The following is a 12,682-nucleotide window of genomic DNA, read 5'->3' as shown; positions in this document are numbered from 1 at the left end:
AGGCTCCCTTGTGGAGAAATGTTTCTCTTACCAGCTTGTCCTGGTATCTAAAATAGATCTTTTCTTTATCTACACCTTCATTTTATCTCTAGAGGAAACTTTGTATACATATGGATTTGCGAATTCCATGACAACTGTTGATCTAGACAGGTTGCTGGAGTATAGCCTATAGGCCAGCAACATTGCTATCACCTGAGAAGCATGTTAGAAATGCAGAATCTCAGTCCTACTGTATAACTGTAGGATCAGAATCAGCATTTCAACAAGATTCTCAGGTGATTCATACTCACTAAATTTGAAAAGAGAACACATGACTTTTGTCTAGAGTAAGGAGGAGCAGGCTAAACAGCGATAGAGAAGTATAGAAAACCAATTTGGCTTAGTTCATTAGCTTATTTTAGAATGATTCTGTTAATAGTTGCAAGGGAATTCTTGAAAAGCAGGTGTGTGTGTGTGTGCGTATTTAGTGTCTGGTTTTGTCACCATGCAAATAAACTTACTTGGAAAATATTCTTTGAGTCAAGTGGGATTTAAATAGAAGTGTTACTGTATTTCCTACAGCTCATTGTTTATTATCTATTTCTTGAGGAGATACCTCAGCTTAATTCTTTGGGAACCTACTTTTACTGTTGTATCCAAAAAAGTAAATGCCTATTTATCCCTCTTAAGGGCAAGATCACACAAACATTAAGTAGTTTTGCTAGGATTTAGCAATGCTTTTTCTTTTTCCATTTATCAGTATTTCTTCAAACCCAGTGGTATTTGAAAATCAAAGCACGTATTTCTAAATCCTTCATGTATCAAGGATACCATATTGGCAAGTATTGGCTAGTCTCTGTGAAAGAACTCAGATTCACCTTTTTACTTGACACTTTATAGATAATTAAGCAATCATACGTAATAAATAGGTATGCTTAATTATCTTATTCAAAGATAAGTGAGAAACTTGGAGTTTGGCTCTTACCTTAGCGTCCTTGGGAAGAAATTGGTCTTTTTACAGAAGTAGCCATATGAAAGCTTGGTTTACTGCTTAAAAACAGTGAGGTTGTTGGCAGTGGGGTGGATGAATTCAGGTATATTTTCTTTGCTTTTATCTGTTTTTCACATTGGTTCTGTAAACTTCCTGTGTTGTGAACGTTTTTAGGGTTATACAGTCGTGTTACTTAATCACAGGGATGCACTCGAGAAATGGTGGTTAGGCCATTTCGTTGTTGTCTGAGCATCATAAGAGTGTATTTGCCAACCTAGATGGTATAGCCTACTATACACCAAGGCTAGATGGTATAGCCTGTTGTTCCTAGGCTACAGACCTATACAGCATGTTACTGTATGGAATACTACAGGCAGTTGTAACAAAATGATATTTGTGTATGTAAACATAGAAAAGGGAAAAGGTAGAGTAAAAATACAGTATTGCAGTTTTTCTTTTTTTTGCAATGGAGTCTCACTCTCTTCAGGGGCGTGATCTCTGCAACCTCTGCCTCCCGGGCTCAAGTGATTCCTGTGCCTCAGCCTCCCAAGTAGCTGGGACTGCAGGCGTGGCCCACCATGCCTGGTTAATTTTTTGTATTTTTAGTAGAGATGGGGTGTCACCATGTTGGCCAGGGTGGTCTTGATCTACTGAGCTCAGGTGATCCACCTGTGTTGGCCTCCCAAAGTGCTGGGATTACAGGCATGAGCCACCGCGCCTGGCCCGGTGTTGTCATCTTATTGGATCACTATGGAATATGCAGTTCATTGTTGACCGAAACGTCATTATGTGACACGTAACTTATTTTTCCTTAAGTTAATAATGAAATTACTTTGTATAAGTTTTTTGGTAACTGTTCTTAAATTCAAATTTTAAGATGAACACCATTGTTTAATCACTGAGTCAGACTTTTTTTTTGTACTTTGGGAATTTACAAATTTACTGTCCATTTTAAACTTGACCTGTTTATGTGTAGCATTATAAATATATACAGAAGGACAGTAGATGCTTAATTTCAGTGCATGTTATTGAAACACAAATACAAAATAAAAACAAGGAATATATACCATTTCATATCCAGATTGACAAAAATGAAAAATTCTGACAATATCAAATATTGGGAACGACGTAGGGGAATGTGAACCTTTAACTATTACTTGTGTTAGCAATGATGAAATGCAATTAAAACCAAAATCTGCTTCCCCCAGAAAACATCTCTTCAAAGGTAGAAGAAAAAGGAAACAATTTCAGTTTTTAATAAGTATTAAACCAGAATGACACGTGTATCACAAGCAATCTGCTAAAAGATTGCAAAGACCAAAAGAATGCTCACCCTTACATCTAGCCAAGTGGATGTAACCCATTACATACATGTTCTCAAGATAAATAGTAAATAGTGTTCAAGTAAGAGGACTTGATACCATCATTTGTCACACATAGTTTGTCCTAAATTCACTTGGTAATTGGAGCAACCTTGTGTGTGAACAAATTGGCTTTTTCTAAAGGAAAAATGAACTCATATCTTTATGACAGGATGTAATTTTACAACTTGGAACTAGATGGCCTGCCAAAGTTAGGCACCCTGTCCTCCCACAGAAACTGGGAGATAAGGGTGCCGTCTCTCTTGATGATCTCATTTGAAAGAGATGGTTATAAGGTTCTTGAGAAAGGCAGTTTTGGGCTGCTGGCTAGGGTTTTACAAAGATTTACATACATCTCTAAGCAGGCAGAGAAAGAATTTACCAGGTTTTGAAAGAAAATCCTCTAAGAAAAGGGGGTCGGGGAGTACAGGTAGAATTAGGCCTCTTATTTTAAATTTTAATTTGCCTGTATACTGATGGATAAGTTGATCCAGCTACCTTAGTGGGCAAGTTAGCAATGCTGTAGTCAAGTTGAAGAAGAGTACACCCTCTGATTCAGCACTTTTACTTTTAGAGAAACTGTTAACATATGTTCATAGGATACTTGTAGCATTATGTATTAATAGTGAAACATTGGCAACAACTAAAGTATTTGTAAGTAGGAAAGTGAATAGATAAATTTTGCTATATTCGTATAGTGCAGTACTATACAGCCCTGCAAATGAATGATTTAGGGCAACATATATCAACTTGAGTAATTTTCAAAACAATGTTGAATTACTAAAGCAAGTTGCAGAAGGTTGTGTACAGTATATTGATACAACATTTGAAAACATGCAGAACAATACCACTTATTGTTTATTGATACATATACAGTGAAAGTAGAATAGAATGATAAACACCAAAATCAGGAAGTGGTTACCTCTAAGGAGGGAGATGTACAAAGGGATCAGCAAGGTATTCATTTATTTCTTAACCAAGGAAAATCTTAAGTAAATAAGGTAGAATGTTAAGATTTAATTTATTTAGGCAGTGGGTATGTGTGTGTTTGTTATATTATTACCTAGATTCTTTTGTAATGTTTAAATATTTAATGATTAAAAGTTTTAAAAGAAAGAATGGATGGCAAGCAGTGGAAGGAAATGAGGACAACTCTTCAAGAAAATTTGTTGTAAAGGGGACCAAAGAAATGGAGGGGTAGTTGAAGGGAAATTAATCAGTGTTAGTATGACACATTTGCATGCTAATAATAATGATAAAGTAAAAAAGGGAAGAATTGGTATAGGAGACCTATAATAGTTATGGGAGCAGAATCCTTGAGAAAGAAAAAAATAATGGGATCCAGTACAGAAATACCGTTTGGCTCTTGATAGGAACAAGGACAATTTGTTGAAATACGAGGGAAAGCAGAATAAGTGGTGGGAAGATGAAGTAGTTATCTTCTCAATTTAGGGTGACCAACATCCAGGTTTGCTTGTGATTTAGCAGTTTCTCAGAATGCAGCACTTCCAGTGCTAAAACTGGGAAAGTCTTGGGCCAACTTCTGATTGTTTTTCCTTGACAAAATGAAAAGCATTGATCATTATCTTCTGGAAGTGATAAGGGGATGAAGGAAGTATTGAGGCTTAAGGTGAAAAGAGAAGGTATGAGTTAATTCTCTATCTTAAAGATAGGAGAGCAGATTCACTACGTTAATGTGATGGGATTTCTGAGCATTTTAGGGGTCTGCTGAAATTTATGGTTATTATTTTAAAGTTTATATGGTTGTATTTCTCTTTAGTCTCATTCAGCTATTCAGGTAAAAGTACTGAGTTAAGTGGAAAGTTGGTTTTAAACTATGTTTTGACTGTGATGGAGGGAGAGAGGAGCAGAGGAGTGAGGCCACAGCAAGGAAATGACTGTGATGATGGATTTTTGAGTCTCAGACTAGGTAAGAAGTAGAGACGAAGGACAGTGGAAAAATTTGTAGGGTCTGTTGGAGTTAACAGGTTTCTGGTAGTGAACTGGAAAAATTAGTATATTGAGTAAAGAAGCTGAGATGCTTGAAACTGAGATTTTTAAGGTAGCGTAGTTACTGGTTATCGATATTTCATTATGAGAATAGGGGACTGGAGTGGGATGGAAGAAAAGATCATTGGGTGTGGAAGTGATTACCTTCTGTGGATGTCATTTCAGTGATTAATCTGTAGAGCAGATTTTGGTGCTCTATAACATATTCAATTATTTCCTCTTCATACACTGAGAGTTTCTGCTTCCTGTTTTATTTTGTTTAAATATTGCCTCAACTTGTAAATCACATTGTGTTGCTCTGAAATGAAGACAGCTGTAAATAAGTAAATCGATAAAAGCAAATTTTGTTTAGTCAGAATTTGGCCTTATCATATGGCTTGTTAGAGACTGTGTAGTTGGTAAATTCAAACATTAACATCCCAACTGATGATCCTATTGCGCATTAAGCTAGTTTAGTCCCACATAAGTTCAGTGAGGGCTTTATGCCACATATGTTTATCTGTAGTACATTGCTTTGCTGACTCTAATTTTGTCTTTGTCTTTTTATAGGACCGCAGCTGAATGCACAGCTAGAAGGTTGGCTTTCACAAGTACAGTCTACAAAAAGACCTGCTAGAGCCATTATTGCCCCGTAAGTCTTTTTTGTTTTTGTTTTTGTTTTGTTTTTTGAGAAGGAGTCTCCCTGTGTCGCCCAGGCTGAAGTACAGTGGCATGGTCTCGGCTCACTGCAACCTCCGCCTCCCAGGTTCAAGCGACTCTCCTGCCTCAACCTCCTGAGCAGTTGGGACTACAGGCGTGTGCCACCACACCTGGCCAATTTTTGTATTTTTAGTAGAGACGGAGTTTTACCATGTTGGCCAGGCTGGTCTTAAACTGCCGACCTCAAATGATCCACCTGCCTCGGTCTCGCTCACGCCTGGCCTGCACTGTAAGTTTTAAGAGTCTACTTAAAATCTTTTTTGTATGTTTATTATTAGTAAATGAGTATCTACAGATTGAACTAAAAATTAAAAACTGAAGTCTATACTGAGCTGAAGAAATTGTATTCAGTAATTTTCACAATTCTTGTGGGTTTTCACTGTAACTTAAGGATAAAAGAATTGGCTACTTTGGCTGCGTGTGGTGGCTCACACCTGTAATTCCAGCACTTTGAGAGGCCAACGTGGGAGGATTGCTTGAGCCCAGGAGTTTGAGACCAGCCTGGGCAACATGGTGAGACTCCATCTCTACTAAAAATACAAAAATTAGCTGGGTGTGATGGTACGCTTGTAGTCCCAGCTAAGCTACTGGGGGTGGCAGTGGTGGGGTTCTGACGTCGGGGGTCGCTTAAGCTTGGGAGGTGGAGGTTGTAGTGAGCCAGATCATGCCACTGCACTCCAGCCTGGGTGACAGTGAGGCCCTATCTCAAAAAAAGAAAAAAAAAGAATTGGCTACTTTATTTCCTCAGATAGAGTAATTTCGAAATGTATTTTTGATAATAAAACTGACTTTTAAAGAAAAGTGTTTTTTACATCAGGTAAACTTGCCAATTTTGGTAGCCATTGCTATAAATGAATAAGTTCTATTTTAAATATTAAAGAGATCTAATTTAATCCCGATGATTTTTAATTTATAATGAAAAAGATATATTAAGCATAGTATGGTGCAACATGGAATAGCAACTTAATTTTTGAGGAGGAGTAGATTGTGTCTTTTTTTAATTGAGAAAATCTGATTATTTTGTCTTTGGATTTTAGAGTTTGCTTTTTAGAACTGCAAGCTAGCACATACACAGTTAATGATGTGTGTCTGTGTATGATATGAATTCAGTTAATTTTGATTTGGTTTCCAGTGCTAACCTTCACAACATATTGTTTGAAACACATGGTAACATTTTTTCTGAGAAGAGTGAAGGTTTACTCTGTGCCATTTGTCTCATAGCATGTTGTTGTTTGTGACTTCTATTGGGTTAAGGTTCATGCCCTGATAAATAGTAAATAGTGATGACAATATATAATAACCGTTTTTAATCAATATCAGAATTAAATGAGCAAATAGTAAATACACATAAAGAGCCTACTATTAATGGTAGGCATTTTATATACCAAATATTTTGTTAAATGCCTTATTTGTATATCTAACTTGATCTCATTTAATGGGTGCAGGAGCCTGACTCCTACTTACAAGCTATGTGACATGCAACTTTTTTATCTGTTGGGATTTCAGCTCCTCATTGGTAAAGCTGGAATAATAATAGTATTTCCTTAACGCTTTTAACAAAAGATTAAATGAACTAATCTTTATAAAACTTACAGCAAATGACTTACTACTATTTATTTAGTCATTTACATACCAGGCTAAAGGCCAAGTGCTCTTCTTTGTGCTGCATTTTGAGTAAATCAAAGTTGCCACTCTTGTGGTACTAGCATTTTGGTACTAGGGAAGACAGGCAGTAAACAAATAATTATATTCTATGTCAGGTGCTGATGGGTGCTAAGAAGAAAAATAAAGCAGATAGAGGATTGAGAGTGACAGTATGGGTAGGGTGTTACTGTTTTATATAGGATTAGTAAGAAAAGGACTCCCTGGTAAGGTAACATTTTAGTCTGAATGATGTGAGAGAGCAAGCTGTGCAGATAGCTGAGGGAAGAGGGTTTCAGGTTGAGGAACAGTGAGCACAAAGGCTCTGGAACAAGAGTATGCTTAGTGTGTTTGAGGAGAAGCAAGGAGGCCAGTGCAGCTGGAGTGGCAGTACAAGGGGAAGAGTGGTAGATGAGATAGGCAGCGGAGGGCTAGATCATGAAGAGGCTTTGTAGTCATAAGGACTTTGGTTTTTATTCTGAGTGATATGGCAAGTCATGACAAGTTTTGAGCAGTAGAATGACATGATCTGACTTAGGTTTGAAAAGAATTACTCTTGCTGCTGTATGGATATTATATTATGTGGGAACAGGGAGTCCAGTTTAGGAGGCTTATTTTACAATTATAATTATAGAAAAGAGATGACATAGTGGCTTGGATTGGGGGCTTGAGGCAGAGATGATGAGAAGTAGTGTATTCTGGATATGTTTTAAAGGTTGGACCAACAAGATAGAGAGAAGAAGAGTCAAGAATGACACTTGGCTAGGGGCAGTGACTCACGCCTGTAATCCCAGCCCTTTGGGAGGCCTAAGCAGGAGGATTGCTTGAGGCCAGGAGTTTGAGATCAGCATGGGCAACAAAACAAGACTCCATCTCTACAAAAATTAGCTGGATGTGATGGGATGCAACTGTAGTCCTAGCTACTTGGTAGATGGAGGGAGGAGGATCCCTTGAGCCCAGGGGGAGGCTACAGTGAGCTATGGTCTGTTTGCACCACTGTACTCCCGCTTGGGCAACAGTGAGATACCCTGTCTTTAAATATATTTTTAAGACATGGTTTTAAAATATCATGACTGAATGATTCTTATGTTTTGTCCTGTGAAACTAGAAGGATGGAATTACCTTTATACTGATAAGGGGAAGACAAGTGGAAGTATGGAGTAGATTTTGAAGTGTTCGTATAGAATCTAGGTTTTTGGTTTTGATCTTGTTAATGTTGAGGTGCTTATTAGATATCCAAATGGAGATTTAGAATGGGCAGCTGGCTATATGAATCTGGAGTACAAAGAAGAGGCACCAGACTTGAGATAGAAATAAAGGCTTTATTAGTATATATAATCACAGAGGGTATGGTTGCCTAGGGAATAAAATAAAGATAAACAGGAGAAGAGTTTCAAGGACTAGCCCCTTGGATAAGCCACCTTTTTAGAGGCTAGAATAAAGATGAACATTTGCAAAGGAGATAATGAAGGGAGAATAAGTGAGGAAGGAGGAAAATCAAGAGTGAGTGATGTCTCTGAGAGGCCAAAGGATGAAAAATGTGTCGGGGGAAAAAGTGATCAGCTGTATCAAATGCTGCCAGTGAGGACTGAGGATTGATAATTGGATTTGGCAATGTGGAAATCACTGGTGACCTTGAGAAGAAAAGTTTCTGTGGGGTGGTGGAAATGAAAGTATTATTGGAGTAGGTTTAGGAAAGAATGAGAGGTGAGGGCGATGAAGACGTAAGTATAGATAGTTTTTTGAGGAATTTTGCTGTAAAACAGAGAAATAGGATAGTATCTATATGGTAAGGAGGATTTTTATTTCATTTGTGAGATTTTAAAGTGTTTGTATATGAAGTGAGTCAGTAGGGGAAGAAAAATTGATGCAGGGATAAGAGGGGACATTTACCTAAGAGGGATCCTTGATTAGGTGAGAAACAATGGATTAATAATAATTTCTTTATAGTAACTCACGAGAGACATTCTCATTTCATCAATTTGCTGGTATTTGACTATTATGGTATGCTACCTTTCCAGTTAAAACTTGTTCTAAATTTGGGAGCTGAGTTGAATCAACATATAATTAAGTTGAGTTTAGTATTCATAAAAAAGTAGCCAGACTTGTTTCCTTTTTGTAATTAATTTTAAATTGGAATAATTGGGAGTGACCTGGGAAATGGAATGTTTTAGCCTAAATTACAAATATGTTGATTTCCAAGTTACCCCAGATTTTAAAATGGATATTTGAAAATAGTTTTGGCTTTGGTGTGTTTCTGTGACATGCTGACTTTGTATATAACGTATAATAAATGTTATAATAAACATATAAACATATAAAAACATAAATATAAACATACAATAAACATATATAAATGTGCATTCATAGGCAATTTCTATTTCGTTAACATAGGAAGACTTTATAAGTATAGCCAAGTTTTATCTTATATGGTTTCCAGAAGTAATTATTTTCCTTTCCAAGGCTATCTTTTTTTTTTTTTTGAGGTAGAAAACAAATCTTTCATTGTTACTGGGTGCAGTGGCTCATGCTTGTAATCCCAGCACTTTCGGAGCCTGAGGTGGGAAGATGCTTGAGCTCAGGAGTTTGAGACTAGCCTGTGCAACATGGCGAAACCCCCTCTACAAAAAATACAAAAATTAGCTGGGTGTGGTGGCATGAGCCTGCAGCCCCAGCTACTCCAGAAGCTGAGATGAGAGGATCACTTGAGCCCGGGAGGTTGGGGCTGCACTGAGCTGAGATTGCACCACTGCACCCCAGCCTGGGTAATGGGAGTGAGACCCTGTCTCAAAAAAAAAAAAAAAAATATTGTTCTATGGCATGAAAGGGTTATGCTATTTAATAATTAGAAAAATCACATTAATCAAAAACTTACTTTAAGTTTTATAAATGTTAGCTCTCTAGTACTTGCTTTTCTTAGTTTTTATTTTTTATTTTTTTATTTTGGGACGGAGTCTCACTCTGTCACCCAGGCTGGAGTGCAGTGGCGCGATCTCAGCTCACTGCAAGCTCCACCTGCCGGGTTCACGCCATTCTCCTGCCTCAGCCTCCCGAGTAGCTGGGACTACAGTCGCCCACCACCATGCCCAGCTAATTTTTTTTGCATTTTTAGTAGAGACGTGGTTTCACCGTGTTAGCCAGGATGGTCTCGATCTCCTGACCTCGTGATCCGCCTGCCTCGGCCTCCCAAAGTGCTGGGATTACAGGTGTGAGCCACTGCGCCTGGCCTTCTTAGTTTTTTTTTTTTACCTTTATAGGCATAAATCATATCATGGAAACCTTAAATAAACTCAGAACCTGGATATAGTTGTAACTAATTAGGCTGTGTGAAAATGGCAAGTTTTTGAAAGTGCTTAAAAATATTGTTCATTTTTATATTGATATAGATTAAATAGAATAAATACCATTAAAGAATAAATATTGACCTGTCAACTGTTGTTCTATCTTAATGAATTCTAATCTGTGTGACATAAGGCAGGCACGTTTGGAGGATTTAAAAGAAATTAATTTGATTAGAAATGTACTGTGGTTGAATTCAGAACTACCTTACCTTGATGTGTAGGAGACAGTATGTGTCGCAGAGATATATATTGAAATGATCTCATGAGCTAAAAGTCTGAAATGCCTTTCTACATGACTTCCAGATATCTTCATACCAATCTTCTTGCTTGTCTTGCACTATGCAGAAATATGTCAGCAACCCCTAGAATGAAGCTGTACAGATATGCATCGCTTAAGAAACTTATTAAATATAAAAATGTAATCAAATAATTGGTTAACATGAATTTTTTTTACTATAAAACAGGTACTTTGAATATTGAAGCCCCCCTTATACATTTAAAATACTTGATATTAGTTAACCTAGTAGGACTTTGACTTGATATTAGTTAACCTAGTAGGAGTAGTATGGGAGAAAGGATACTTCCACTTTTCATTGTGTACCCTTTATTGTTTGACTTTTTTACTGTGTGCATGTGTTACTTTTAATATAAAAATTAGTTTAAAAAATGTAAATGCTAAAAAGCGTGTATATAGAAGACAAGTTTGTATATAGTGAAGCATACCTGTACAGTGCTCTACCACTGGATATCATGAGACAATCTTCATACATTATTTAGTTCTTCAAGTTACTGAGGATGCACAGCTTATTTGTCTCTAATTATTGTTTGTACTAAGCCATAGGATATTCATGTCAAAGTCTCAAATCCTATATGACAGTACAAAAAATATCTAGATATGCAACATTCTGGTTAGTTCATTCTTATTTGACTTCAATAACTTTAATAACTTTCCTTAGCTCAGACTATTTAATATTTATGAGATTCTATTATGTAAAAATAAAATATTCTGAATAATAACTATCTAACTTGGACTTTTTTGGGCACAATTATCTACTGATATTTTTTATCAAAACAGGAATCTTGAGGGCCATTGAGCAATGCCTACAAAATAAAAGAATAAAAGACTAGGTACAGCAAAATTAAATTGAGAGAGGCAATGTGGAAGCTGCTGCATTTGCAAATTATATAGGGCCAGTTGTCAATCAAATTGATCCCATCTGTTCAGAGGAGTTTTCTAATTTAGTTTCTAGCTTTTTAGATCTTACCTTAGCTTAAGTAGATCTTGTGACTTTTCCTATTGTTGGAGGAGATCTTCCCATTTCCTCTGGTTCAGTCTTCTCATTTCATCTAGTTCAATCTTTTTATTTTGCATTTTGCTACTATTAAGTAGAACTAGGACTATTGGACCTGACTTTGTTGAATCTTAGTTAAGTATTCCTTTATTATTCCCTGTATCCTCTTTGATGAAAAGCCTTACATAGAATGTGTGGTAGACTCTTGGCATTGACAGTTTATACTGTTCACCTGTGACCCTGAAGGTCTCAGAATGAACAAGTGAAAATCCATGTCCTGTAGTAATTGGTCATTTTTCTATGGTAAGAATTTGAATTATACCCACATTGGAAGGTTGCTGTGTGGGAAACTGTCACATAACCAGTAAATGTTCATGAGCAATGAATGGCCTTTGCATCCTCACTTGATTGCAGTTCCACAGGGAAAAACAGAAATTCTGGTGTCAGGAACTAGACTTGCCGACGTAAAGGGTCTACTGTGTAGGAGCAAAGGGAGAAGCAAAAGCACTCCCTGTTAAAAGAAGGATCAATTTTTAGAGGCAAGGTTTTAGCTTGATAAAATGTTGTAGGTATTAAGTATAATTTTGTGTTTGCCTTCATGATATGTTAGGTTGGGAATCAGAGTGACTTGGAAAAGTTAGTGGGGATGGCTTTTTGCATTAAGGACTTTAAGAGCTTTTAAAAGACTAAGTGGGACAGGCCAGGCGCGGTGGCTCATGCCTGTAATCCCAGCACTTTGGGAGGCTGAGGCAGGCGGATCACAAGGTCAGGAGTTCAAGACCAACCTGGCCCATATGGTGAAACCCCGTCTCTACTAAAAATAGAAAAATTAGCCAGGTGTGGTGACGGATGCCTGTAGTCCCAGCTACTCGGGAGGCTGAGGCAGGAGAATCGCTTGAACCTGCTAGGTGGAGGTTGCAGTGAGCCGAGATGTGGCCACTGCACTCCAGCCTGGGTGACAGAGTGAGACTCTGTCTCAAAAATAAATAAATAAATAAAAATAAAAAATAAAATAAAATACTAAATGGGACACACTTTTACAGTGCATATTAGAATATCTGTAGAGCTTAAATTTTCATTGTTTTGGCTGTTATGCACAAAAGAAAAAACTTTAGCCGTTTCTTTAGTGAAGCCTCCTTTATTATGAATGATCTCTTGATAAAACGTTGTTTCCACATACATGTAGAATCGCAGGGTCTGTTAGCGAGAGAAAGATTAGGAAAAGAGCATCTGTAGTGTGATTTGATTGTCATTATTCTGATTTTCTTCATTACCATGTTTCTGGGCGAGGATAAAGGAAATTACAAGAAATTATCTTCTTTGATTATTATCTTCTTCCTCCTTTGATGAAGTAGAGTTCTTTGTGGT

At 37.1% G+C, this 12,682-nt stretch overlaps 1 protein-coding gene across 22 annotated transcripts in view; it reads left to right on the top strand.

The window, feature by feature from the left end:
• The window catches only part of MEMO1 (mediator of cell motility 1), a 143,186-nt gene that overhangs the window by 62,735 nt on the left and 67,769 nt on the right, over positions 1-12,682 (top strand). For 20 of the 22 annotated variants that reach the window (NR_126034.4, NR_163996.2, NR_163998.2 and 17 more), the window contains one exon: positions 4,891-4,972. Coding sequence is in view for 10 of the 22 variants with exons in the window: in NM_001371916.2 (NP_001358845.1) it covers positions 4,891-4,972 (82 nt within the window). In the remaining 12 variants the exon portion in view is untranslated. Of the gene's footprint in view, positions 1-4,890; positions 4,973-5,151; positions 5,270-7,529; positions 7,535-12,682 lie in introns of those variants that run through there. The other 2 variants (NM_001371921.2, XM_011532896.3) reach the window with 2 other exon arrangements.

The sequence above is a fragment of the Homo sapiens genome, chromosome 2, assembly GCF_000001405.40.
Source record: "Homo sapiens chromosome 2, GRCh38.p14 Primary Assembly".
Lineage (NCBI taxonomy): Eukaryota > Metazoa > Chordata > Mammalia > Primates > Hominidae > Homo > Homo sapiens.
This window is presented reverse-complemented; position numbering and strand designations above follow the sequence as displayed.